The sequence below is a fragment of the Homo sapiens genome, chromosome 5 (genome assembly GCF_000001405.40).
Source record: "Homo sapiens chromosome 5, GRCh38.p14 Primary Assembly".
NCBI classification, from domain to species: domain Eukaryota; kingdom Metazoa; phylum Chordata; class Mammalia; order Primates; family Hominidae; genus Homo; species Homo sapiens.
Genome location: NC_000005.10, coordinates 62,715,883 through 62,742,704, shown reverse-complemented (window position 1 = coordinate 62,742,704; position 26,822 = coordinate 62,715,883). Strand labels below are relative to the sequence as shown.

General features: G+C 40.8%; 1 annotated feature.

The window, feature by feature from the left end:
• Nucleotides 23,811-24,551: an enhancer, noted in NCBI's record as "NANOG-H3K27ac hESC enhancer chr5:62013981-62014721 (GRCh37/hg19 assembly coordinates)". NCBI's record gives its function as "activates a minimal SCP1, AML or CMV promoter by ChIP-STARR-seq in naive H9 embryonic stem cells {active_cell/tissue: H9 hESC(naive)}" and the evidence as "EXISTENCE:reporter gene assay evidence [ECO:0000049][PMID:30033119]".

Below are 26,822 nucleotides of genomic sequence, written 5' to 3'. Positions count from 1 at the left end.
GAATCTTCTCTTTTATCAAGAGATCTGGGTTTCACTCATCGAAAAATCACATTTTCAGCTCTTTGAAGAAAAAAAGATACTAGATAATAACCAAAAAGACTTCATTAAGAATAAATCCTGTCAGGTTAATCCAATCTGCTTCCAAGATAGCATGGGGAGGAAAAAAAGAGGATGTGCAGTTTTGGTAAGCAGAGAAGATGACATCAGTTCCCTGGGAAGACACAGCCATGCAACTCGGCAGATTCAAACTACACTGTTTGACATGGGCCGGGCACCTTTATGTCTGGTGAATATGTAACAACAAGAATGGCTCAAAGATCTTGATGAGAAAGCACAGGACAAAGGTCAAAAGCTGTTCATCATCATTGTAGAATTTCAAATTCAATGAACATAGCATTTCTCTGACTCTAAAGTTTCCTTTTTAAGCAGTACTTATCAGACAATTATAAAAGAAAAAGAAAAAAATCAGGTCACCTGCTAAAAGTAAGCAATTATAAATAATCAAAAATCCTCTCTCAGGATCCAAATCACAGCACAAGAAATTTGTATGATAAATATTTGACAGTCTGTATTGTCTGGTTGTGCTCACTGAGAAAAATAACAGGTACTTGCCTTAGGAAAAGTAAAACCAACACCCGTCTCAAATATTTTGTCTTTTGAATAACATTTCACACATACAGCAGCTTGCTTCTAAAGATTTCAAAACACTGTGCAAACAATTATGATCTCCATAGTACTGAGCTGTCAAGGGAAAAGAGGCTTTGAGAAAATAAAGCCTGTCTATGCAAGGTGACCTCGCAAGCCAGGGGTGGATATGGATGGAACTCTTAAATCTCAGTCTCTATCCCCCTGTTTCAACTTCCTCACTTAGGGAAAATATGTATATTATTTTCATATTCCTTTCAAATACATGCCCCCAAGAATGTTAAACTTGAAGTGTAAAGTGTCTTATTTACAACTAAAATTGTAAAGGCACATAAATAAATATACCAGAATAGAAAAGGGACTGTGGTCTGTTCATTGTTGTGCCCACAGCCCTGCCTGGCATATGCTAGATATTCAGTAAATACTCTTTAAATTAATCCAATTAAATATCCATCAAAAAAGCTATTCCTCTCATGTACAAGTATGTAATCAAATTAACCCAAAACCATAAATTACACACTTGTTTGTTTAGAATGGGAAGTTTTAAAGTTTCTTTCCCTTAAGAATATTAAAAGATTTTCCCCCAACTACAAAAGGTATGTCAAGATAGAATAGCTTCCTACTTAAGTTCAGAATTCTCCAATAACACTACAGAATGTGGGTCCTGAACGCAAAGAAGTATTGAGCTATGAATTCATGTCAGCCTCTCTCAAAGACTAAAAACAAAATTTTGTCAGTGAAATCGGGGCAGAAAATCATTAGGTACTTAAAGTAGGAATGAATCAGAGACTTGATCCTCAAATGTGTTTAGATACCAAAAATTACTTATTAAAAATAAATAATATAAATGTCACTGAAATAGATCCAGAAGAAAAGAAAACACAGAGTAAAACAGAAGTAAAAGAGACTGACTGAGGCCGGGTGCGGTGGCTCACGCCTGTTATCCCAGCACTTTGGGAGGCCGAGGCGGGTGGATCACAAGGTCAGGAGATCGAGACCATCCTGGCTAACACGGTGAAACCCTGTCTCTACTAAAAGTACAAAAAATTAGCTGGGCGTGGTGGCGGGCGCCTGTAGTCCCAGCTACTCAGGAGGCTGAGGCGGGAGAATGGCGTGAACCCGGGAGGCGGAGCTTGCAGTGAGCTGAGATCGCGGCACTGCACTCCAGCCTGGGCGACAGGCTCAAAACTTAGTCAGCAGAACTAAGGGGACAGTTAAATTTACATCTAGACATAGAGAGGTATGTGTACCACTACCACTAGAAGTAGATAAAAAACAGATCCCATCTCAAAACAAACAAACAAAAAAAGAGAGACTGACTGAATCTTCCATAAGCACAAAGAGCACTTCCACCCCAAGCCAAGAAGACAGAAGAACTGATTTCTGGCTAAATTATTATCTTTGACTCTATGTAGAAATACTTTTTAAAAATAATCATCTGTCTCTTAACTCTAGAGATTGAAATATTCAAAATTTATTTGTGCATTTCATCTTTGACCCATTTTTGTTAACTTTAAAAAGCCAACTATGAAGAATTTTTTTTCATATCTACATATCAGAGTGAACATATGGAACTACTTCAGGCTCACTTTCATTTGAGGCCCCATGATAGGAGCCAACCACTCTCACATCTCAAAATGAGTGACGTACACCACCATGCAGGACTAGCAAAAGAAGGGTTTGTGCCCCTTGAACATACTGGCACTGAGGCTACAGGTTAAAATAAGGCAGGAGATCAGAAGGAAGATTTCTCTGGAACAGCTGTACAAGCTCTACCTCCTACATCCTCCATAAGAGATGGGTAGGATGCTTGGTCTTCAGTTCAAGCCTAGAGACAGGGTCTTCACGGAAACCCTCAGCGAGGGTCATAGGGATCCCTTGGAGCTTGGGACACAGTGGACTTAGTTAGGCCTGACACATCTGAGAAGTGGCTGTGGATGAAGTTGCTTACCAGGAAGTTAATAACAGGAGTACTATAGTTGGAAAGTAACTAAACTCCCACTGATCATGGATGAAAGATGCATATTTTATGTGGATCAGATATGGGGAGGGACAAGGGGAGGGAGGGGGCTAGTATGAGGTTATCTTAGATCTTGATCAAAAGGTCATCCTGGAAGGTGTGAAGCCCTCCGTAGAAAGAGGTTGAAGATAAACAGTTAGATTCCCAGGGAAAGAAATCCTAAGCAAACCCTAAGCAACCAGTCAGAGCAGGTACATTCACTCACCTCAACAGAACTGTGGGAGAACTCCCACATGGGGCAAGTCTCCAAAGAGCCCAAAAATATTGCTCTGAAAGACAGTCAGCTTTGAACACCCTCTGAACCCAGCAAGTATCAGTAACAGTTCGCAGAATTACCAATAAGACATTTCCTGCCCCCTTACCTTCATCCCATCCCCAGCTTCCCATCCCCAGCTTCCAACACCAGCTGAAAGCGTAGCTAGTGGGCTGGGAGAGGAAGTCACGGAGAGCAGATGGAGAAATGTAGTATAATTAGCCATTCCCACCTTCCCCATTGCTAGACTGCAAAGAGGAATTTTGATTATAACACTGGAACAGTGATACTGAACTGAACAGGCTTTTTTGAATGCTCATGAGGCCAGACTTTATTAATGAGTGAGCAAATAGGCTATGGAATCAATCTAAAAATTTTATTCAATGGACAAAAAAATTAGCTTCACAGAATGCTTATGTAGAGGTTATTGTGAGAAAACAAAGCTGATTTTATAATTTTACCTTAAAAATTTATTTTTGGGGCCAGGTGTGGTGGTGGTTCATGCCTGTAATCCCAGCACTTTAGAAGGCTGAGACAGGAGGACCACTTGAGACCAGGAATTCAAGACCAGCCTGGACACTTGAGACCCTATCTCTACAAATAATAGGTTAAAAAATTTGCTGGGCACGGTGGCTCACGGCTGTAATCCCAGCACTTTGGGAGGCTGAGGTGGGTGGATCATGAGGTCAGGAGTTCGAGACCAGCCTGACCAATATGATGAAACCCCGTCTCTACTAACAACACAAAAATTAGCCAGGTGTGGTGGTGCACACCTGTAATCCCAGCTACTCAGGAGGCTGAGGCAGGAGAATTGCTTGGAGCCAGGAGACAGAGGTTGCACTGAGCTGAGATCACGCCATTGCACTCCAGCCTGGGCAACAGAGCAACAGCAAGACTCTATTTAAAAAAAAAAAAAATTTAGCCAGGCATGATGGAGCACACCTGAATCCCAGCTACTTGGAAGGCTCAGGTGGGAGGATTGCATGAGTCCAGGAATTGGAGGTTGCAGTGAGCCATGATCATGCCAGTGCACCTCAGCCTTGGTAACAGAGCAAGAACCTGTCTCAAAAAAATATGCATTTTTCAATGTTAAATTTACATCTAGACATAGAGAGGTATGTGTGCCGCTACCACTAGAAGTAGATAAAAAACAGATCCCATTTTTCTTTTCATTTATTTATCTATTTTTAGAAAGACAGAGTCTCTCTCTCTCTCTCTCTCTCTCTCTCTCTCTCTCTCTCTGTCACCCAGGCTGGAGTACAGTGGTATGATTATAGCTCACTGCAGCCTCAAACTCCTGGGCACAAGCAATCCTCTCACCTCAGCCTCCTGAGTAGCTGGGACTACAGGTATGCACCATCATGACTGACTCATTTTTAAATTTTTATATAGACAGAGTCTCAATATGTTACCCAGGCTGTGCTCAAACTCCTGGCCTCAAGTGATCCTCCCGCCTCAGCCTCCCAAAGAGTTGAGATTACAGGCGTGAGCCACTACACCTGGCCAGATCCCATTTTTCTCCCAGATATTTCATTTGTTCACTCAGTTCTATATTTATTCACTTCAAGTTATTGAATGCACAGTATATGCCTGGTACTGTACAAGGTGCTATTAGGATATAAAGATTAAGTCCTTGTCTTAGTGAGAAGGTGGCATCATACCACATTGGAAATCAATACAAGTTGTGCATTGCCTGTTTTAACATGCCCTGCCTCCAGGGTGATTGCTAGGAACATAGGGAACTTCCACAGACAATGAAAAGAGGGAGCTTCTGTCTCTTTTGCAGCCATTGTTCCTTCCAGGCCAAGGCAGAAGAGTGAATGAGGATATACAGCTACATGATTTATTACCTGCTCTGATGCCACAAGAATCAGAGGAAGACACAGCAGGTCACAATTCTCAGCAGCCCTTCTAAGTGTGTTGAGCAAAAGTTAACCCTTTAATACACAACTCCAAATCCTTTCCCTTCATGACTTCCTTCTTCATCTTGGCCACAAACCCAGCCAACCCTTCTCTCTAGATCTTTTCCCAAGATGGACCTAGCTAGACTATATGCAACACCATTTCTAAGTACTTTTGACTGTCCTTTTTTTGGGGAGGGGGCTGGTTGGGGGGACAGTTTCACTCTTTCACCCAGGCTGGAGAGCAGTGGCACAATCGCAGTTCACTGCAACCTCAGACTCCCAGGCTCCAGTAGTCCTCCCATCACAGCTTCCCAACTAGCTGGGAACATAGGCGTGCAACACCATGCCCAGCTAATTTTTTGTATTTTTGGTAAAGATGGCATTACACCATGTTGCCCAGGCTGATCTCAAACTCCTGAGCTCAGGTGATCATCTGTCTTGGCCTCCCAAAGTGCTGGGATTACAGGAGTTAGCCTCCATGCCTGGCCTTACTTTTGACTGTCTTTTAATGTAGTTTTTTCCCCCTCAATTATAAAATCCATTACTACAAAGTAGGAGAATCATTTCTAAGTCAGCAGAACTAAGACACATCCGGCTATGCCCTCTAATCCATGTGGACAAACTCTGTTCTTGTTTACTTCACTATTCTGGTTAAAAGAATGTGAACCACCGCATCTGCTTTCTCTCCTTGCTTATTTTTACTCTGTATAAATCCTAAAACTGCTGACTTAACCACTATTTCTACTAATTAGCCCTGATACCTTCCCTCCTCTCTTCCAATACAATACCTTGTCTTTCTCACGGATATTGTCTGCTTAAAAGAAAAAGATATTTGAATCTCAGAATATCTAATCCCCTATTTAACACCTCAGACACACATTTTTTAACTTTTTTTGCACATGATACTTTCTAGATACAGCTGATGCCTAATTAGGCAAGCTAAGATGGTAATAGGATAAAATAATCTTAAAAGTTATTTCTGTCTGATTTAGTGAACATTGTTCAATCTTTGTTTTGATGTAGCCTCAGCCAATTTATTTTACTAACTCTCCTTTTCTTGAACTGATGTTAAAATGTGTTTGCAATCCACAGCACATACTAAATGGGGTGGAAATTTGGAGGTAAAGTGATAGAAGCATATATGGAATTTAACATATCCTGAGCTCATTCACAAAGCAAAGGTGGCAGTGTTTGTGTAGCCTGTGAGACACTTAAGCTACCCAGCAGAGTGAAGAACAGCTTTCCACAACTGAATTCTATGCATTATTCATATACCTTTACAGCATCTACAGGAATTATCAACCAGTTCATTTATAACTTGTACCAATTGTTCCACAACAAGAAATGCAAGAAATGTTATATTTCTTTATTTTCTAAATCAAATTCAGTTCAATTCATGTTCCAACTAGCCAAGGTTGACAAGAAGAACAAGGTCATTCAGATGTCAGAGATAACTTACAAGAAGTGATCATAATCAAAGATGAAATGCTAGGGCTTACACAGTCCAGAAAAGTCCCCAGGTTTATGTGATCCTTGCAAAGACTTCCAGTTTCTAGTATTCATGTTTGCCCATGTAGCCATCCAGGTTCTGCCTCCTCCAGGGGCTGAATGCTGGTAGAATTAGATCTCCTCAACTTCCCGAACTACCACTCATTTCTACACCATTCTCAGGGAACCTAACTACACGCCTCCAGAAAACAGACCACCGCTCTCCAACCTTCAAACATAAAATTACTAATCAACAAATGCTTGGCCAGGCGCAGTGGCTCACGCCTGTAATCCCAGCGCTTTGGGAGGCCAAGGCAGTTGGATCACCTGAGGCCAGGAGTTCAAGACCAGCCTGGGCAACATGGTGAAACCCTGTCTCTACTGAAAATAGAAAATACTAGCCTGGTGTGGTTGTGTACACCTGTAATCCCAGCTACTCTGAAGGCTGAGGCAGAAGAATCACTTGAACCCAGGGGGTGGAGGTTGCAGTGAGCCGAGATCATGCCACTGCACTCCAGCCTAGGCAACAAAGTGAGACTCCACCTAAAAAAAAAACAAAAAAAAACAAAAAACAAATGCTGTTCGAGAATTGAGTCAAATCTACTTGTGGGTGTTCCACCTTTGAAATAAGGCTTCTTTCTTTGAAGGAAGGATGAAAAATCAGAGGAAATAAGATCTCAAACAATTTTGGTCAGATAACACTAGCTATGGTAGAAGTAAACCCCTTAATATTAGGGGTCAACACAGTAGAAAAAAATATAGATTTTCCTAGTGGGCATAGTTCCCTGCTCCACCCAGGCTGACAGAAGCTGAACCATTTTCAACTTATGCTTCCAAGGTTGTTCTGGGCATTGACGTCCAGCAAACAAAAGGGGTAAGACAACACAGAGAAGGCAAGCTGCTTCTTATCCACCTTGACTCAACAGTGGCATCCATTAGGTTTTCTCATATTCTAGTGGCAGATTCTAGTCTTGTGGCCTCACTTAAGTGTAAGATTACTGATAAATTCAACACTCATGAAAAGGAAGTACATATTTTGATTAATAATTAGCCATCTCTCCTACTAAATCATAGGTAATCCCAAATTAAAATTTATCTGCTCGATGCACTCCTTATTTGTTAATGAGACTCTCTTAGGGGCCAATAGTTGAGAAGAGTTGATTCTCCTTGTATATCAAGTGATGAATGAACAAGTCACAAGTCAGAAATAGAACAATAAAGCTGTGAAGGACATAAGTAGAGATTGCTTGACTCACCTCCTTAATTTACAAACAAAAAAATTGGAGCCCAAAGAGGTTAAGTTACTTTCTCTAAATCACAGAACTAGTTAATGACAGGGGGGAAAAAAGAACTAAGATCCCTTGAGCCTTTATCAGGTGTTTTTCCACAAAAATTTAATGTTACCCATTTTTGTTTATTAGCAAAAGACACAGATCTAACTCTTTCGAGTTAGAATTTTAAGACTCCAAATTGTGCCTTGGGAGATGTAAGGAGACAAACTTTTCCTCCACTCTCTTATGTTTAGTGACTGGGGCCTGCAAATTAAACTGACAAAGGTCAGATTAACAGGAAAAAAAGGCATAAACATTTTATTCATAATTTTAATGTAACATGCACAGGGGCTTCAGAGAAAATTGAAAACCCAAAGAAGCAATTCAACATGAAGGCTCATATACCATTTTAACAAAGGGTAATAAATTGTACAGACTAGATGAAGAAAAGAGGTTGGAGTTTCTAGGGCCAATAAATTAAGAGAAAGTGACCAGCAAATATATATGGGAAATTCATGGAAGACAACGGTTATTTTCATAAGGTCTGTTTATGCAGACTCTTCTCAATGCCAGCTCTCTGTCTCCAGTACTAAGGGTTGCTCTTCTCATCCTGCTACAAGAGATGGCGTGAATTTTTGCCCTTATTTTGGGCAAAAAGCGGGAGGAGGGCAGAGAGCTCTTCTTGCAACTGCTGTTTCTCAAGTGTCTCCAGCTCAAAATAACTAATATGTCAAAGTAGCATACTTTGAGGTGGCATATCCTGACCTCCTTCAGAAGAAGGAAAGATGGAGAGGAAGAGAATTTTCACATTCTTACCAAAGTATACCTAAAAGCACTTATTGGACTCCATATTACCTATGACTAGGGTATAATGTCACATCCCCAAGGCCACTAATTATCAGCAAGAACTTACAAGTGAATTCCTTTAAATGGCCAAAATATTCCCAGCTTGAACCATATAAAATTTGTCAAGCAATCTGTTTCCTTTTTGGTGGCATTCATACCAAAAATGGTATAAATTTACTGCCAACAGGAACTGTACTTAAAGAGTCATTGATGATTTGTGGGAAATTTTTGAATCTCTATTTCAGGATGAATCTGCTTTAGTATTGAATCATGTTTTTTTCTGAGTGGCTTTCATTGTATTTGGGGTGGTATGCCTGGTCCTCAAGTTCATTGGCTCTTGTTATTTATTCTTCACCTGAAGCCATCATCTCAGTTTCTGACATTAAAATCTGTTAGTATGGAAACAATTTTGGTTGTGTCAAGAGACTGAAGGATAATAACTCCATGGTAGCCTAAGTAGCAGGAGCAGACAAAAATCTCAGTAACAAAGATACTATTTTTATACTGGAGTTGCTAGTAAAATGTGTTGGAGAAAGGGGAGATAGGAATGAGAGGAAATAAAATGTCACTTGGATGTGTCTGGTTCCTTGAAGAAAACTCTTGTTAATCTTAGTTGGAAAAGAAGTGTGCTATGTGTTCATGATCCCTCCAGAGTGCTCCAGAAATTGCTAGAATGAAGTAAAATTTTACAGAATTTATCCAACTGTCTGAGCCTCTTGGCCTGTGTTGGTAAAAAGCAACTGTAGCTTTTTCTGTGAACCTTCTCTTTATAGGAAGAGATGCCAAGATAGGCAAGAGGGCCAGGGAGAGTCACAAAAATTGCAGCAAAATAGAATGTCGAATGAAATTTTCCCATTGATTGTGCATTTCAGAAAAGGCCACATGGTAGAAAGCAATAGGTGCTTTGTGTATCCCATTTTCTAAAGAGAGCCACCAAGGAACGACCAGCCATAACCCTGTAGCAATCACTAACAAATGCTGCTACCATCACCTTCCATCTCACCAAACTACGTCAGTAGTTCTCAAACCTGACGTAGAAAAACATTAGAAGCTGGAGAGCTTTTCAAAAATACTCATGCCTGAGCCCAACTAATCAAGTCAGAATTTATGTGGTTGAATCCAGCCACTGGTTTTCTTTTAAAGGCTCCCTAGATGATTCTAGTCACTCAGCCAATGTGGAGGCCCACTGGTCCACAAGAACAGAAGTCTTAGGATCTTTGGAGTTACACAATGCTGGCTATGATAAGTGCTCTGACTTCTCTCTTTTCTTGGGCCAAGTCAAGGAACTCTGCACTGAAGATGACTCTGACTGTGTCCAACAAAGGAACCACTCATGTACCCGACAGAGATACATTGCTAACACTTGAATGCCAGCCACACAGCAGCCATGGACAGGCAGTCATTGACCACAATACAGCAATAAAGTCAGAAGATTTTGGCTCTTTTCCAAGTTCTCTCTCATCTGCTTCAACACAGAAGGAGCTAAAAGCAGAAAAGGGAGGAAGAAAGAACAGACTGTGGCCACTCCCCTTCTATACAAATCCCTCAAGCTGGGGCCTTGCTTGCTGTGGGGTCAGCAATGAGGTCAGCACTAAACTGGAAGTGAGATTGAAGTTTCAACATAAACCAGGCAAAACTAGACTTTTCCATATCTGAAAATAATTGAAGACTTAAAGGATCTAAGAAGTTCTGAAATGATACAGAAAGAAAGTCAACCCTGTCGGGCAGATCCCAGCACTCTGGGAGGCCAAGGTGGATCACCTGAGGGCAGAAGTTCGAGACCAGCCTGGCCAACATGGTGAAACCCCGTCTCTACTAACAATACAAAAATTAGCCAGGCATGGTTGTGCATGCCTCTAGTCTCAGCTACTTGGAAGGCTGAAGCACAAGAATCGCTTGAACCCGGGAGGCAGAGGTTGCAGTCAGCTGAGATTGTGCCACTACACTCCAGCCTGGGCAGCAGAGCAAGACTCTGCCTAAAAACAAACAAACAAACAAAAAGGTAACCTAAAGGAGCATGTTTGAAGGAAGTCATAGGAGAAAAACCAACCACTTCATATTTGAATCCCACTGAGTTGAGATATTCAAGAAATCACTTGTGGCCAGATGCAGTGGCTCACACCTATAATCCCAGCACTTTGGGAGGCCGAGGCAGGCGAAACACTTGAGTTCAGGAGTTCAAGACCAGCTTGGCCAACATGGTGAAACCCCATCTCTCCTAAAAAAAAATACAAAAATTAGCCAGCCATGGTGGCGGGCACCTGTAATCCCAGCTATTCAGAAGACTGAGGCAGGAGAACCACTTGAACCTGGGAGGTGGAGGTTGCAGTGAGCCGAGATCATGTCACTGCATTCCAGTCTGGGCAACAGAGTGAGACTCCATCTCAATTTTAAGAAAAAGCAAAAAAGAAAGAAATCACTTGCATTTGGTAGCTGTACCTCCTGCATGGATTAATTACATCATGATTTGAGGACATGAGAAAGGAATGAATTACTTAACCTCCCATTGTCCCTTCTTCAGTAATCCTATCATAGGTAAGATACCAGATAATTCAAAACAGAAAAAAATGTTAAGTTATAAGATGACAAGTTCTGGGTATAGAATGGTTCTATAGGATGGGTGGCAATGGATGTATTAATTTGATGGCACAAATCATTACACAATGTACACATGTGTCAAATCATCATGCCATACACCTTGAATATATTCAATCTTTGTGAAATGTTTTTTAAATTTTGGAATGGAAAAAAGAAGGAAATTTCAAAAGGGAAGATATTCTCCTTCATTTTCTAGAGCTAATCAAAAAGAAAAGCTGTTCCATTTGCAGCTGGATAAGATGGGGTCCAGAAAGCTAGGATGGTCCCCTTCAGGTCATTTTATCCTTTTTTCTGAAATGTTCTGATCAGAAGCAGCATCTGGAAGTCACTGGGCCCCTGAATACTTACCTACTGGAACTGCTAGAGTGACTGGAGGCACAGTCACCAGAGTGATGTTAGACATTCTGAAACCTGAAGGTAGTGGAGAGCTTAAGGCAGGGATCCCCAGTGCCCGGGCCACACCCATGGCCCGTTAGGAACCAGGCCACAAAGCAGGAAGTGAGTGGTGTGTCAGTGAGCATTACTGCCTGAGCTCTGCCTCCTGTCAGATCAGCAATGGCATTAGATTCTCATAGGAGCACGAACCTTATTGTGAACTGTACATGGGAGGGATCTAGGGTGCAAGCTCCTTATGAGAATCTAACTAATGCCTGATGATTTGAGATGGAACAGTTTCATCCCAAAACCATACCCCACCCCAGGTCTGTGGAAAAACTGTCTTCCACAAAACTGGTCCTTGGTGTGAAAAAGGCTGGGGACCACTGGCTTAAAGTCCACTTGGAGTAGACCACTCCATGGCTGTGGGTTGTTGGGGCCTCCTGTTATCCAACCTTGCTTTCCTGTCATCATATGTGACTCTCTTTCTGACTCATCTTCTGCTGATGCCTTATCCATGGATGAGAGATGAAGGCAAAGTCACAGAGACCTACACGCAGCTACAAAGACTAGGTCACCACGCAGCTCCCTCAATAAAGAGGAATGGTTCTAAGTAGTCAATTGAGTTGTCCCGAGTAGGCCATTTTGGCAAGTACATAGCTGATGGCTTAATTGATGGCAGAAAAGTTCTTTTTTTGCACAATATATCAGACAACAAAAGAAGAGGAAAAGAAAAATCTCTTGGCACAATCAAATCCAAAGCACCAGATGTTGACTGAGAGGTGCCCCATCAGCCTGCAATGTATTCTTTTCAATCAACTAATATAGAATTCTTTTTATAATCACTAACAAATGAAAGTACAAAAGGGTAGACATCATCTCTAGAAGGCCCAAAATAAACCATATATTTTGCTTAAGACTGATTCTATTCCATTAATATAGTATGTGCTAAATCTATATATTAATATTTGGTATATGCATAAATGGGTGTGTGAATGAATTGAAGAACAAGCAAATGAACAAAGAACACACATGTTCAAGACAGGGCAAGCCTAGAGCAATGCTGTGTTGGGGGTGGGATCTAGAGAAGTAAAAAAAAGTAGAGAGACATTATAGGAGGTATAGATCTAAAAACAAAATTTGCATCTAATTTTGCTAGAACCATACTAATAATAACTATTTAAGTACTTATGTCATCCCTTCATAATTAATACATGTCTACAGTCTCTTTGCTTGATACTCCAAAGTTTAAAAAGTCCTTAAAAGGTGACCTAGCCTTGGTCTTCCCATTTAAAATTCTCAGGCATTTTTTTCTCAATCCACAGCTGGCAAATTGCAGAATTTCAACACTGGAACCAGACATGAACAACTTCATGCATAATGAAACTTCAACTAAGCAAGTTCTCTGAACTCAAAGATTTCTCGCAAATTAGGCATGTCCTAGGAATCCACTCTTGATAAAGCTAATGCTGAGTTGCCTTAGACAGTCGAGCCTGTGCATTTGAGGGTTTTGACAAGGCTGAGTGCTGAATTTGTGATTTTAAATGTAAGTTCTGGTTATTTTAAGCTATTCCTGTCTCTTTGATGGCACTGTAATGAAAGAAACTCAGAGTTTTTTTTATTCTCTCATTAGTGTTTCTAGCAAAAATAAAAAATACTCATTTGTGGAAATTTTCCATTACCTAATATATCCTTTCCATAAAAGGATCAGTTTAATGAAAGTATTCATCAGTATACAAAGAGTAGAAGCCAACTACCCAGCTTAAATCCTCATTAACCAAAAATTACTTAGGTTTTCCCATTTCCCATGAAATCAACATACAATTCATCTGTTGATGGATGTGCAGCAACAAACCATTAACAACAAACTCTTGAATCTCTATGATCCCTGACCGCATGTCTCCAAGCAGTAGGGACCTATCTGGAAGACCTAAGAATTCCCCCAAAAGCCAAGATCTTAAAATACACACTACACTGGTCTGAAATGTGACTTTTGAACCATTCCTTTGGTTAAAGTAAGTGTTTCAGAATCAGATAAAGTTGGAATCTACACCGTTGGGAAAAATGTATGCCCCTAATCCTCATATAGAGGGATCTCCCCAGAATGATACACCCCATACTCTCATTCACTCCTCCCAGTGGAAGAGTTTGGAAGAAGGAACTGGCCTCATCATACTCTGCCAACCTTCTCTTCCTGTATTTCAGAAACAAATCCTCTAAAAGACAGAAACAGACCACTTATGAGCCTTCATTATATTTTTTACATTATTTAGTTAAACTTTTTATTGGAGTATAACACACATACATAAAAGTACACAAGTCTACAGTTCAATAAATTTTATTATTTATTTATTATTTTAGAGACAGGGTCTCACTCTGTCACCTGGGCTAGAGCATAGTGACACGATCTCAGCTCACTGCGGCGTCAACCTCCCAGGCTCACTAATCCTCCCACCTTAGCCTCCCATGTAGCTGGGACTATAGGTACGCACCACCACGTCCAGCTATTTTTTTTTTTTTTTTTTTTTTTTTTACTTTTTGTAAACACAAGGTCTCATTATGTTGGCCAGGCTGGTCTCAAACCCCTGGTCTCAAGTCATCGTCCTGTCTCAGCCTCCCAAATTGCTGGGATTACTGGCGTGAGCCATTGCACCTAGCCTAATGAGTTTGTTTTGAGTAAACTTACTCATGAAACCACCATCAGATCAAGAAATGAAATAACACCAACATCCCAGAACAGTTCCCTGTGTCGTCTTCTCAGTCATCCTCCAGAAGTGGCTTTGAACACCAGAGATTAGCTTTGCCTGTTTTTGAGGTTAAATATAAATGAAATCCTAGAGTATTTCACTCCTTTCGTGTCCAGCTACTTGTGCTCCACATTATGTCTGTGAGACGATCCATGTTGTTGCTGTGGTTTCAGTTTGCTTAGTCTCTGCTGTGTAATATTCCATTGGGTAAATATACCACAACTTATCCATCAGACTGTTAAGACAGATTTGAGATATTTTGAGTTTGGGGCTGTAACAAATAATGCTACTGCGAACATGCATGTACATGTTTTTGGTGCACACATACACAAATTTCCATTGGCCAATTTACCTGATTGCATTTTGACTCCTGATAAAGATGAATCAATGGAGTTCCCTGCCAGAGGTCTATTTGTTCAGCTCATATCCACTGAATGATACACTACAGCATCTTCAGTTCCTGTTGACTGGTTCCAGAGTAGAATGAGGAAACATTACTACCCACAGAGAACTCGATCATCACTGTGCTCAGCTGGAGAAAGAATTACATGGCCAGCCCACTGGGCTCATTACACTCAATGGGATTTTGTAGAAGAGAACAGCACCTTCCATGAATAGAAATGAGCCGTGTGATGAGGCTAGATTTGATGGAAGGAACCAGACTTTTCTAGGGGATGCCTTGAGCATGAAAGCTTGGGTCCCACCTGCTATCTTCCCAGCCTAAGGACCAGTGTGAGAGACCATCAGCTTATATAAGACAGAGACACTGGCCACACTCTGCTGTGTGTGGTTTGGGTTGTTTTACTGCCTCTCTGCTCCAACAAGCCAGTGGGGAAGAGGAAAGCTACCTCAAATGGTGCCAAGAGCCCAGCAGGGCCCCACTGTGTCAGGGCTGCCTGCTTAGTGACAGAGAGGCCTCCCTGCCCAGAAAACTGGCTTGAACAGACCGTCACAACAGAGGCCTCTGTGATGGGTGTTGGTGGAAGGCCACAGCGACACAGAGAATTTGCAGGAGACATAACAACAGAGGTCTTCTCTCCCACTAAATATTATTCCGTGGGACATTCTGCTTCATCGTGCCTCCATTTTTGACAAAGAGGAATGTCCTGGTGCCCACTTATTTCACAGGCCCTTAGGCAGAGGACTGACCAACTTGACTGTGGGAGGATTGCTGACTCAGCTCCTGTTACAAACATCAAATTCAATATTGTATCTGGCCATGAATTCTTCTAAGTATTATTCCTTAAATAAAATTAATGATTTTGAGATATGGAAATATGTTATTGATATGATTATTAGTAATAAATATCAAGGTTAAAAAAAGAATTTCCATTTATCAATAAGCTAAGAGAATGCATGTGCATACATGCACTCACACATACACATACACATACACATACACATACACATACACATACACATACATACACACACACACAGAGCACCTCCCCCACCACAAATGGGGCCCAGTACCCTCTCATAAGATGAGAAACCAGTCCTGATTCCTCAGTCTAGCACGGAAGAGGCCTAAACTCTACATTATTTCATTCAGTGAAGATTTATTCTAAAATAATTATTGAGCACATAATGTATACCAAGAAATTCTGAGATTGCCAGCAACAGAAAAGCACTTCCTCCAGTTAGAGTTCTACACTCTGAGTGGCCATTTGCATGGAGTCTCACTTCTCAGAGAGTATCCTATAGAACACTTATACTCAAGAAACTGCTGCAAAAGGCTTCTGTGGTCAAGTAAGCCTTGAAATATCTACCTAACATATTCCTTCTTGGAGATTCACTATGAGTAATAATATATTGAAGGCTCTGAGAAGTTCCACAATAAATAAGCTTGTTTAATTTTTCTTAACCTAACATTTGGCAAACCGTTTGATCTTAGAATCCTTTCTCATCTAACACTATATTCCTGGACCACAATTTGGGAAATGATGTTAAAAGACAATCGTTAAAGAGACCAGGTTAGCTCATCCAAATGTCTTGATTTGAACCAACTTTGATACAACCAAGTGCACAAAAGAGGGCCCTGGCTGGGCAGTTGTTTCCAATGACTCACTGAGCAGCCTCTGCCCTGTTCATGAATAAGCAAGACACCTTATAGTCCATCAAACTCAGTTTCCTTGTCTATAAAATGTAGACTACAATTAATATACTTACTTTGAAGAGTCATTGCATTAGACAGAAGGTATGTTAAGTCCTTAGATGTGTAATAAAAGCTATCCATTATTATTATCCATTATTATTACTAAATCTGCATAAGCCACAGTCTCCCTTCATGAGAACTAGTTCCCTAGAATAAAGATCTATCATAATGATGTATGTACCTTTTTACCACTCACATTAAGGACCACAATCATTATGTCTACTAGCAAATGAGGGCGATCTTGGCACACACAGAACCAGCTTCTTACAAAGGATCACTTCCTTTCACCAAGGCCCTCCTCACTTTCTAGAGGGGCACTTTCAATAAAACTATGCAATGATGAAAATGTGGCTAGTGGCTTTGAATCAGGCACTTCTAGACACTTTTCGTTGTCATCGTGCCTTTTTTCTCTTCTTCCCAAATATGGGTCCTCCACAGTTCAGGTAAAGCCCTGGTTTTCTCCAATATTGTGGCCTGTCAGTTTGCAAGGGCTGTTTATAACTAGGGTTTATGTTGAGCTTTGGTAGAGGAGGAAGCTGTCTTTTCAGTTCATCTGGAGAGTTCTGGAGCAGGTTCTCATACAGGTAAAACCCTTGCACAGGCATAGTGCCCTCATTTTCTCACCATTATTAACTTCTTCAGATTATGTCCCTGAAGGCAATTATTTAAATGAAAACATGTTATGTATGAGATGATATGCATGAGAGACATTATCCGTGAAGAATGCCTTTGTTCCACTCAATTCATCAACTCCATGGCAGAGAACCGGCCATAATGGAATGAGACAGAAGACAGATATGTTCTAGTAGAAACAAATTATAAAGAACACGGACAACTTGTCACATAAAAGACTAATGCAGTAGAATGGCTATTTTGGAGACAAAATATTGAAAGGGAAGAATACAAAGTTCTAGTGACAATTTTTGAACCACTTCGAAACTATCCCCATATGACTTCATTTATTTTTGTTTTATCCTCTCCACTAAATAGTCCTTGACTGTGGAAATCTCTAAATTCTATTTATCTTTTATTCTCTCAACCAAGCCCCTAGTGTAGGACATTATTATCTGCCAAACATGCCACCTCACAAGGCCATAAAGTCAGGACATACCCAGAGGGCTTTGGGGTTTTAATACATCCTCTGTGTCAGGCGAGACCATAAACTTCAGCTGAAGAGGATAGTTTCAAGTTTCTTAAAATAGAATACAGTTCCATCAAAGTTTCAAATCTGAAAGATAAAATCACTTATCTTTCTAAGCAATACTTTAAAAAATTACACTGCTCATGTTTATTTAAAGAGTGATTATAGGGCTATTGGTAAGATATCTTTGGAGTTAAATATTCTGTATCAAGCTTTATGGTAGTTCTAACCCAACAATGCCAAGATACTGATGCAGTTAGCTCACTCTTCTATTACTTTGTATAAAATTTAGCAAAGGCTCTTGGGAGAAGAAGACATGAAGGTAGAAGATGGTGGGAGATGGGAGACAGGTGACAGAGAGATGCATACATACATATCCATGGCACATACATATCCCCATATGTATCAGAGCAATACATCTTCAGTTCAAGACTTTTAACATAGGCTTTACCTCAACATAAATGTAAAAGATACAGAATATGTAGATGATGGGGGAGAATGAAGTTGCCTCCCACATCACAGAAAAAATCTCATCCTTGGCTTTTTGAAAACATAAGTCATTTAAAACTCATTTTCCTTTACCAAGTGCTACCCTCAGGAAACTTACATCACTGAAGCCGAAGCTGGAGGAAACAGACAGAAAATAGCACATACACAATTCAGGCAAAGTAGCACATAGAGAATTCCCTGACAGGCTGAATATGGATTAATCAAGGAAGTCTTGAGGTTTCGTTTCAGGAGAATTTTTAGAACAGGATAAATTCCTTTGGAACTATCTAGTGAATCTCCTTGGGAGTCAGCAGATGAGCCAGAACAAATCTTTCTCAACCCTCTTCCATGTGTGTTGTCACTGGGTTGGAAAGAGCACTTACATGGCAGTCAACTTTAAGTGGTGGCTGCATCTCAAGCCTGCCAGTTTGCCAGCACTGTGCTTGGTCCTGTTCCTTTTCCCTGTGCAGATCTATTACAGACAAGTTCCCAGGACATAGAGTAAACATAGAAAGCTTGGTTCCCTCTCAACCTTCACTAGGATGAATCACTTTAATATACACTAAAGGGCTGAAAATTTTTAAAAAGCAATATATGCTAATCAATAGGGCTTTAGAAAGTCTCTGTTCCTCAATTTTGTTTGACTGTCAAGGGAAATTTGTTTGTAGCCTAAAAATGTACTAAGAAGAAAGACTAATAATGTAGAAGCTAAGCTCTGCCTGAACCAAAGTCATTGCCAACAGATGTTATCTCAAAGCAATTATCCACTGGGGTTCTGTGTCTTCTGATTCCACATAATGAGGTGCCAAAGAATGGGGCAGCCAGACAGCTGATGCAGTCCACAGAGATGCTTATAAATGGAAAAGGTTTGGGACTCCGATCTCATGGCCTTTGCTCCTTCTGCTTCTCTTGTTCCTAATCAGGGCTATCTTAGGGGGCATTTGGATCTGCAGGAGCAGCTGGGAGGGAGTTCTCATGTCATTCTGAGTTGATAGGCATGGCTAAGAGATGGCCTGACCAGAAACATCTTCACCTGACTCCAACCACCAACAAGATGGAAACCCTCTCTTTTGAGCACCTGATTGAGGTGAGTCCTAGAAGTCCTCTTTTTGAAAGCAGGAATGATAGAGCATTGTGTTTAATGCTACTAGAAGATGTTGACAAATAGCACGGCCACATAAAGCAAATTATTTTGTTTCATTACCTAAAAGCATTCCTCCAGAGAAAGATAAAGTTTGATTGGGGAGCAGAACAGGGAACTTAAGGCCAGAAAAGTCCCAAAGCTAACACAGTTCACCTCAGGGCATCCTTGCATCATTCCTTGCGAATGACAATATAAAATTAGCCACTTTTGAGCCTCCATGATAGCCACCGTCTTTTGGTGGCCTCGTATTAGGCATTTGGCTGCACAGGGAGGGCAATAAACTGACAAGCCTTCATTATGTCAATCATGTTATGCCATGAAGTGGAAGATGGCAGGCGATGGAAGATAGGTGAGAGTGAGATGCATACATATATACCCAAGTATTCATCAGAGCAATTTATCTTGAGATTCATATACACAAGCTGACCTTCAAAGTTCTTACTAACACTGCTATCTATCCAGAGGGAAATACTGTTAGAAAAGGTGAGGTCTATGCTACCTCTAGAGGCTATCCATGATAAGAATTGTTTCACTTAGCGGAAGCCAAGAATTTCTATTCTCATTTTTAAGAGTAATACTTTTTCCAGAGCTGAAAGGATGCCTGTAGCTCTCATCTTTAATAACCTATGTTCTTACCCTTTGTGTGACTGTCTAGCCTACTAATGACTTTCTCTAATCTTTGACAGTATTGTCTGTCTTTTCAAACTTTGGCATCTTCCAAGATTGGTACAAGGGACTTTGACACACCTGAGCACACCTAAAACCCTCACTCACTCTGCTACTCTCTCCTTCCTCTTCCTTCATGAGTTGGATCCTTCCTCTCCCCAATTATCTAAGTCACTCCTTTAGTTTTGTTTCCAGTAGTTTTCTCAAATACTTCTCTACTTAGAAGATGGGCAATTAGCATATATGAATGACTCCCGTAAACAAAATGTCCATAACTTCTCCTGATTCCAGCTACTCCATCACGCATCTGCCGCTATGTCTAGACTTCATGACACCTGAAACACTGCCATCATAGACACTGCTGCAGCGTGCATGGGCTCTCTCTTCCTCATGATGACACGAAGTTCCACTTCAGACCTCAAGGCGGCCAGTTCCAGTACAGTGCCCATCACTGTCTTCCTTGGTCTCAATAGCACTGCCCAATAGAAATACGACGTAAGCCCCATCTGTAAGTTTAAATTTTCTAGTAGCCACATTTAAAAAGTAAAAAGAAATGGGTGGGAGTAACTTTAATAACGTCTTCTCTAACTCAATATACCCAAACATCAATATGTAATCAAGACAAGAAAATTATGAATGAAATATTTTACCTTCTTTTCTTCTACTACCTCTTTGGAATCCGGTGTATATTTTACACTGCTGGGACATCTCAATTTGAATGCTTATATTTTCATTAGAAGTCCTTGGGTGGTATCTAGGTTTCATAAACTTTACAATCGAAAAGTAAATTCCAATACACAAGTTGTTCCAAATATGCTTAAACGTTTTCCAATAACCAAATCAGTATCCATTTTAAAATTTAAATTAATTAAAATTTAAAATTCAGTTCTACTTACAGCATCCCCCTGAGAGGCTGCTCCTTCTCCTATGGCCCAGGTAACTTCAGAATCAAATGGAGGTATTGCATTGTTCTTGTTCATCAATGATATTTCCAATTACGCTTATAACATGCCCACCTTCTTTGAAGCGCCATCTTCTCCTGCTCATCATTGCCTACTGACCTCCTAGTTCTTCCCCTTCATTTGCCAGACTCTGGCATCTGGTTTCCTCTCTTCCTCTCTACCCTAAGTCCTTCCACTCTTCTATTATAGATGACCTCAGTGCTCTGTGTCACAGCCAACACCTGGCCTCAGACTTTCCAGACCCCTGAATTTCAATGACCTTTAATTCCTTTCATTTCAGCTACCCACATCCACAACTGCCTTCTAGAATTTGTCATAATCCCAAAATACTCCAAGCCTCATATCAAATCTTCAGCCCACTCCATGTCCATGCTCCCTAAAATGTCCTAGACTTTACAGACGCTTGTCCCTGGAGACTTCTCTTTCCTTCCAGTCCATTGACCTAATTCTTGCACTTACAGCACAGTGGAAGAGTAAGGAAGAAATTTCTTGTAACCAAACTCCCTGGGGTTGCATCTAAGCTCTGCCACTTACTAGCTATGTGGCTTGGAGCAAGTTATTTAACCTCTGTGCGTCTCACTTTCCCCCTGTCTAAAATGAGGATAGCAACCCTATCAGGTAGCTTCTGTGAGAAATCAAATACAAAGCTTTTATTATCATGCAGTCATTATATAAATTTATTAAATAAATGTTTCCACCCAGCCAGGGTAAAACAATACTCTCCCTAGCAAATCAGTTGTCCTTTTTCTTTGTCCTTCTACCCCACCCGCTTGGCAAAACCTCAACCCTGATCAGTGCTGCTATCTACCTTCTTGTTATCTACACCCAAGCAACTAAGCCCTACTGGAGAAAATTGCAGTGTGATGCAAACTGGCACTACCACAAATGCTGTCACCAATGTCAGCATTACTGGATGAGCAGTTTTCTTGTACCATTCTCCACACCTAACAGGCTTTTCCCCAGTTGGAACTGAAGCCTATGAAGCCAGGGCAAGCACAAGCAAATCTCCAGTGAGAAATGTTGGGAGAACTGAACACTAGTCAGAAAACAAACGGATTTTTTTTTTCTTGAGTTCAAACTGTAGCAACAGTTATGTTATAGAAAAATGTAAATGGCCATTGCCCAGCCTAACCCATCTAGGGGATAAAGTTTGTCCACAGACTCACGGAACTAGGATTTTGTAGTCACAATAGAGCAGTGTGAAGCAAGAACAAATTAACAAAGATGTGGGGAGGAAGCTGAAGAGAGGAATTCTTTTGAAAGAAAGTGAGGTTCTTAACAGCCAGACTGGGCAAGCTCAAAAGAGAAGTGTCACTGTCCTTACTTTCAAACATGATACACTAGGCTGAATAACAGCCCCCAAAGATGTCCACATCCTCAAAGGGAATGTGCAGGTGTTATTAAGGATATTGCGGTAGGGAGAATATCCTGGATTATTCTGTGGGCCCCAGATGTCACCCCAATAGACTGTCAGAGGGAGATTTGACATTGAAGTAGGAGCAGGTGCAACAGAAGCAAGAGATTGGAACAATGTAAAGAAGGGGTCATGAACCAAGAACTATCAAGGCAACCTCCAGAACCCAGAAAGGGAGGAACTAGCCCTGCCAATACCTTGACCTTAGCCGAGTAAAATTGACTTTGGACTTTTGAGCTAATGAACCGCAGAACAATAAATTTCTATTGTTTGAAACCAGCAAGTCTGTGGTCATTTGTTATGTCAGTAAGAGGAAACTAACACACGCACATAGTATAGAAAACCTCAAGTGCTGCTGGAGCATTTCCAGGTGACAGATTCAGCCTGTGCCGTGCATGAGGGAACACGTGTGGGTTTAGCCACTGGGGCTCAGCCCTGGTGCCGAGGTGTGCCTCTAGAGGCCAGCCTGAGGACAGCCATGCATCAGCTGGGCCTGAGTGAATGTGGCTCTGGCAGAAGGTGCTTTCTTCCAGGAAGCGGCTGCTCAGAGGGAAAAGCAAGCACAATTTGTCAGAGAAATGGACACTTTCAATGCCCCCAGAACGAATGGACTGTTGACATATCTTTCACATCAGGGACCCCACGGGACCAAATCAAATGATGTATGTTAGAAAAAAACCTTTAGATAGATCCTAAAGAGACAATAGACAGTTTTGGCCTGACGTACAGTAAAAAAAAGGCCAGACCCAAAGAAAGAAGCGGGTGAAAATGTTAAAATTCAGCTAGGCCCGCTTCAGAGGGAGGGCAGAGAGGAAAATGCAGCCCTTCAGCCCCTCTGCTGCTGCACAGACAGGCAAAGAGCAGTGTTTCTGCTGCCTGAAGGCACGCCAGGCCCCCGAGGCTGGAAAGAATCAGAAGCTAAGTAAAGGGAAATTTGGAGGTCAGTGGGGTGTTCACTAAACCCCTGAGGCACAAGTTTGGGGAGTACCAGGCTCAGCTTCAGTTCAGGAATGTCAGGGTGATTCTCCAGCTGAAACAACTCCGGCACAAAGCAGCTCAATGATCCAAGGAATTGCAAAGCCAGAGCGAGTGGAGTGGTGGTGGGGTCTGCTTTTCTCCTTCCATTTCTCTGGGCACAGGGGCAATTGCTGAGAATGCCTTAGGATCTTGAAGATGAAGACACTCAGAGAAGCTGGGATAGTGGATATTACGAGGAAATTATTCACTTCCGCACTTGATTAATAACTTACTCGCAAAATATACCTCACTTCCAAGCACAGCACAGCCACGTTTTTTGCCCACCTCCACTGAGCAATTGCTCTTATAATTGCAGGAAACATGCTTCTGTAAATTAATTACAGGTTTTCAACCACAAGCTACAAGAAGGGGAAAAGAGCAATTTATATTGAGAATTAGAAAAGAGTGCTATCTGACCAGAAAGAAAGCTGACTTCTCAACCAGAACCTTAAGGTTCCTTGAGGGAAAACAGATCTTCAGTGAATTTAACCCCCTCCGCACTACAGATTTTCTCCTGATGTTCCTTCCAGTGGTTGTGGACTATTGAGTGGCCCATCAGTCCGAGCCTTATGGCTGTGGCCTCCTTTTTGCCGGCTCACAGGGCAGGAGGCATCTTCTCCTGCATCTAGAACAGTCTCTATATGTGCACAGCTGTTCCATCATTACTTAATAACAGAAAGAGAAGCACTAAGCCATAACAGATTTGTAGTCATTAGTCCAGAGCTACCATATTCTAGGAAATCAAATTCAAGGAACACCTAATTACAGACAACTCAGATCAGGGTTGAAGCCTCTTAGCAAAAGCTTCATCAACCCAGTCCTTGATGGGCCAGCAGGTGATGGAAATCGGGGAAATGGAGTCTGGTCCAGAGAATCTTTAAATGTCCTGTCTTTGTTTTATTCATTGCATAAGTCACATGCCAAGGAACATTATCCTGTTGTTTGTTATTTAAAAACTTTAAGTTGAGGTCCTTGTCCCACACATCCTACCCTCCAGGGGTCAGCACTGCCAAGGTCACTACCAGCTCTAAAGGTATGTTCCTTGGAGACTCTCTGCCTCTCATGGTCCTCCCTCTCAAGTTGTTCTCTTGGAATGACTCGTGGAGTTAATCATTTTCCCTTGAATTTCTCCAGCAACTTTGCCACCACCAACCAAAACAAAATAAAAAACAATACTCTCCCAAGTCATTAGCAGCATAAGGAATCAGAAGGGTTTGCAATGTGGCAAAGTAAACAATAAACAATTTTAGAATGGCTATGAAAGATCCCTGTTCTCAGAGGGCTTGCTGGGAGGGTGGGAGAGGAGTAAGAGACGAAAAACTACCTATTGAAGTAAAAGGTACACTACGCAGGTGACAATACACAAAAATCCCAGACTTCACCACTGTATGATTCATCCATGTAACCAAAAACCACTTGTACCCCTAAAGCTAATGAAATAAAAAAAATTTTTTTTAATAAAATGAAAGGGCTTGCCCCCTCTTCCACTAGCAAGGCCTCTTGCTCCACCCTGTCCCACAGGCTCCAACCTCCTCTGACACGGTCCAGCCTCACCCACTCCATCACACAGACATCTACTGTAGGAGACAAGAATATGCCATCCCAAAATATGCCTCTTTGGCATAAGGATTATTTTGACCTGAAGGCAATTGGGAAGAAGTAGATATAAGAAAAGCTCTCTGCCCTCTTCCATTTGCCTACAAGGAGGACACAAATTTACAAAGGAAAGGTGTCCTCCTCCCTCACTACCAGGAAGGAGAAAAGTTGACCACTGATTCAACATTAGACCCTTTTCAGCCTGTGCACAGCACCAGAGGAATCTGCATAACAAACTTGGCTAACTCCCACATATGCGCCTTCCCACAATTTGCTGCCCCTAGAGACTCAAAGTCTTTTTCCTTTGTCTTAACACTTCTCTAAAAACATACTGTTTTTTGTTGAAGGTGCCATATAAGCCAGAGGTCTAAGCCACATCCTTGAGAATTACTCATTCCTCAGGTATCTCCCATGTGTATATGAAATATACATGTTAATGCACTTCTGTTTGTCTTTCTCTTGTTAATCTGTCTTTTGCTGCAGGGGTCTGTCCCAGCTAAGAACTCAGAAGGGTAGAGAGAGAGTTATTTTTCCTTCCCTTCAAGGTCATGTGAGGATCACATTCCTCCAGTACACACTACCGGGGCCTCATCTTTCTCCCCTAAGTGGATTACAAAGGTTTCCCTAAATTAAGACAATGCTCTTTTTAAGATATTTTCTGGCACCAATTACTAAGATGAAAAGTTTTTCATCCCAATATTACTCAGATCTGGTTTAAACTGGTTCGTTACTTTGGGGAGTTTTAAAAATCCTACTTGTTTTGCTTTATTTTTAAAAACAAATTAATGTGATTTGTTGCAGTTTTTCATTTACTGCTGCATTTGGCTCAAGTTTCTGTTTATAAATAAACATACTCCGGTTCACCTACTCCATGCATTTTTGCTTTAGATCATGTTTTGACAAATTCTGACAAAGTTAAAAAAGAATTCAAAGCAACCAACTGCCTCTACTTCAAACTTATGTTAAAAAGTTTAATTTTATTCTTGCTAAGAATAACCCAGGAAAGGGGCACTCATAAATATTAGAAAATCTTTTATCTAAATACAATAAAATATTTCACTACCATTTGAAAGTAATTGTACTGAGTGTAAGCAGAAGTTTATATTGAGTTATTAAATTAGTAACAAACTTACTTTCTGCCAATCCAGGAATAACAATTGAACCTATAAGTGATATCACACATACTTGGCTATCGCACTGCCCTAAAATTTATTTCATCTCATGGTAAATTTTAAAAAGCAGGAGAGGGAAGAGAAAACACGATTTTGCTAACGGTGGGCAGATTGACAACACTGTTGTGTCCTGGGAATCCTGAAGTTTTGCTATTTTGTTTTGTTTGAACTCTTCCCTGTGCCCTCCCACCTCCCTCAGAGAAGACTTGAAATTTCAGGTCTCCACTTTCTAGTGATCTCCTTAAAGAGTGAGTTTTACTTGAGTGGAGGTAACTAATTTAGTGAAAAAACATGGATATATGGGCGTTGGAATTCTGGCTCTGGCATTTCTAGCCGTATAAGTTTGCACAAGTTATTTCACCTTTTTGAGACTCAGTTTCCCCATACATAGTTTGGCATTATCAGAAAATTTATCCAAAATTTCAAAATAAGCAGAAGGGATTACCAGGAGTTCTTTCATTATGGTACTGAGTTTGTTTTTCTATTGTCTGGGATATCTTTCAACTCTGTAGGCGCAGAGTTTAAATCGCATGTTTTTGTCCAGTAGAAATGCAAATAATTTTTATTTGGTGACAGATATAACCATAAAGATGATGGTTTAGGGCTTCATTGAACATTACTCAGTTTTGTGTCTTACCCAGCAATCTCATCTCAACATTGCCTACAAGCTCCCTCCCCTTTCAAATGCTCTCTGATGTATCATTAACATCTTCATGGTTCTTTCATTAATGAGGTAAATAAAATCTTTGATGTGTATTCACTTTATATTTGCATAAGACTCATGATTTTATCTTTCTGAAAATTATGCCTTAATAGAGGTAATCATCTCTGTTACTTTGGTTTATGAAAGGATTCAATAAAGTGATATAATAATAAAAATAACAATAATAATGATGTTTATATTTTATTGACTACTTAC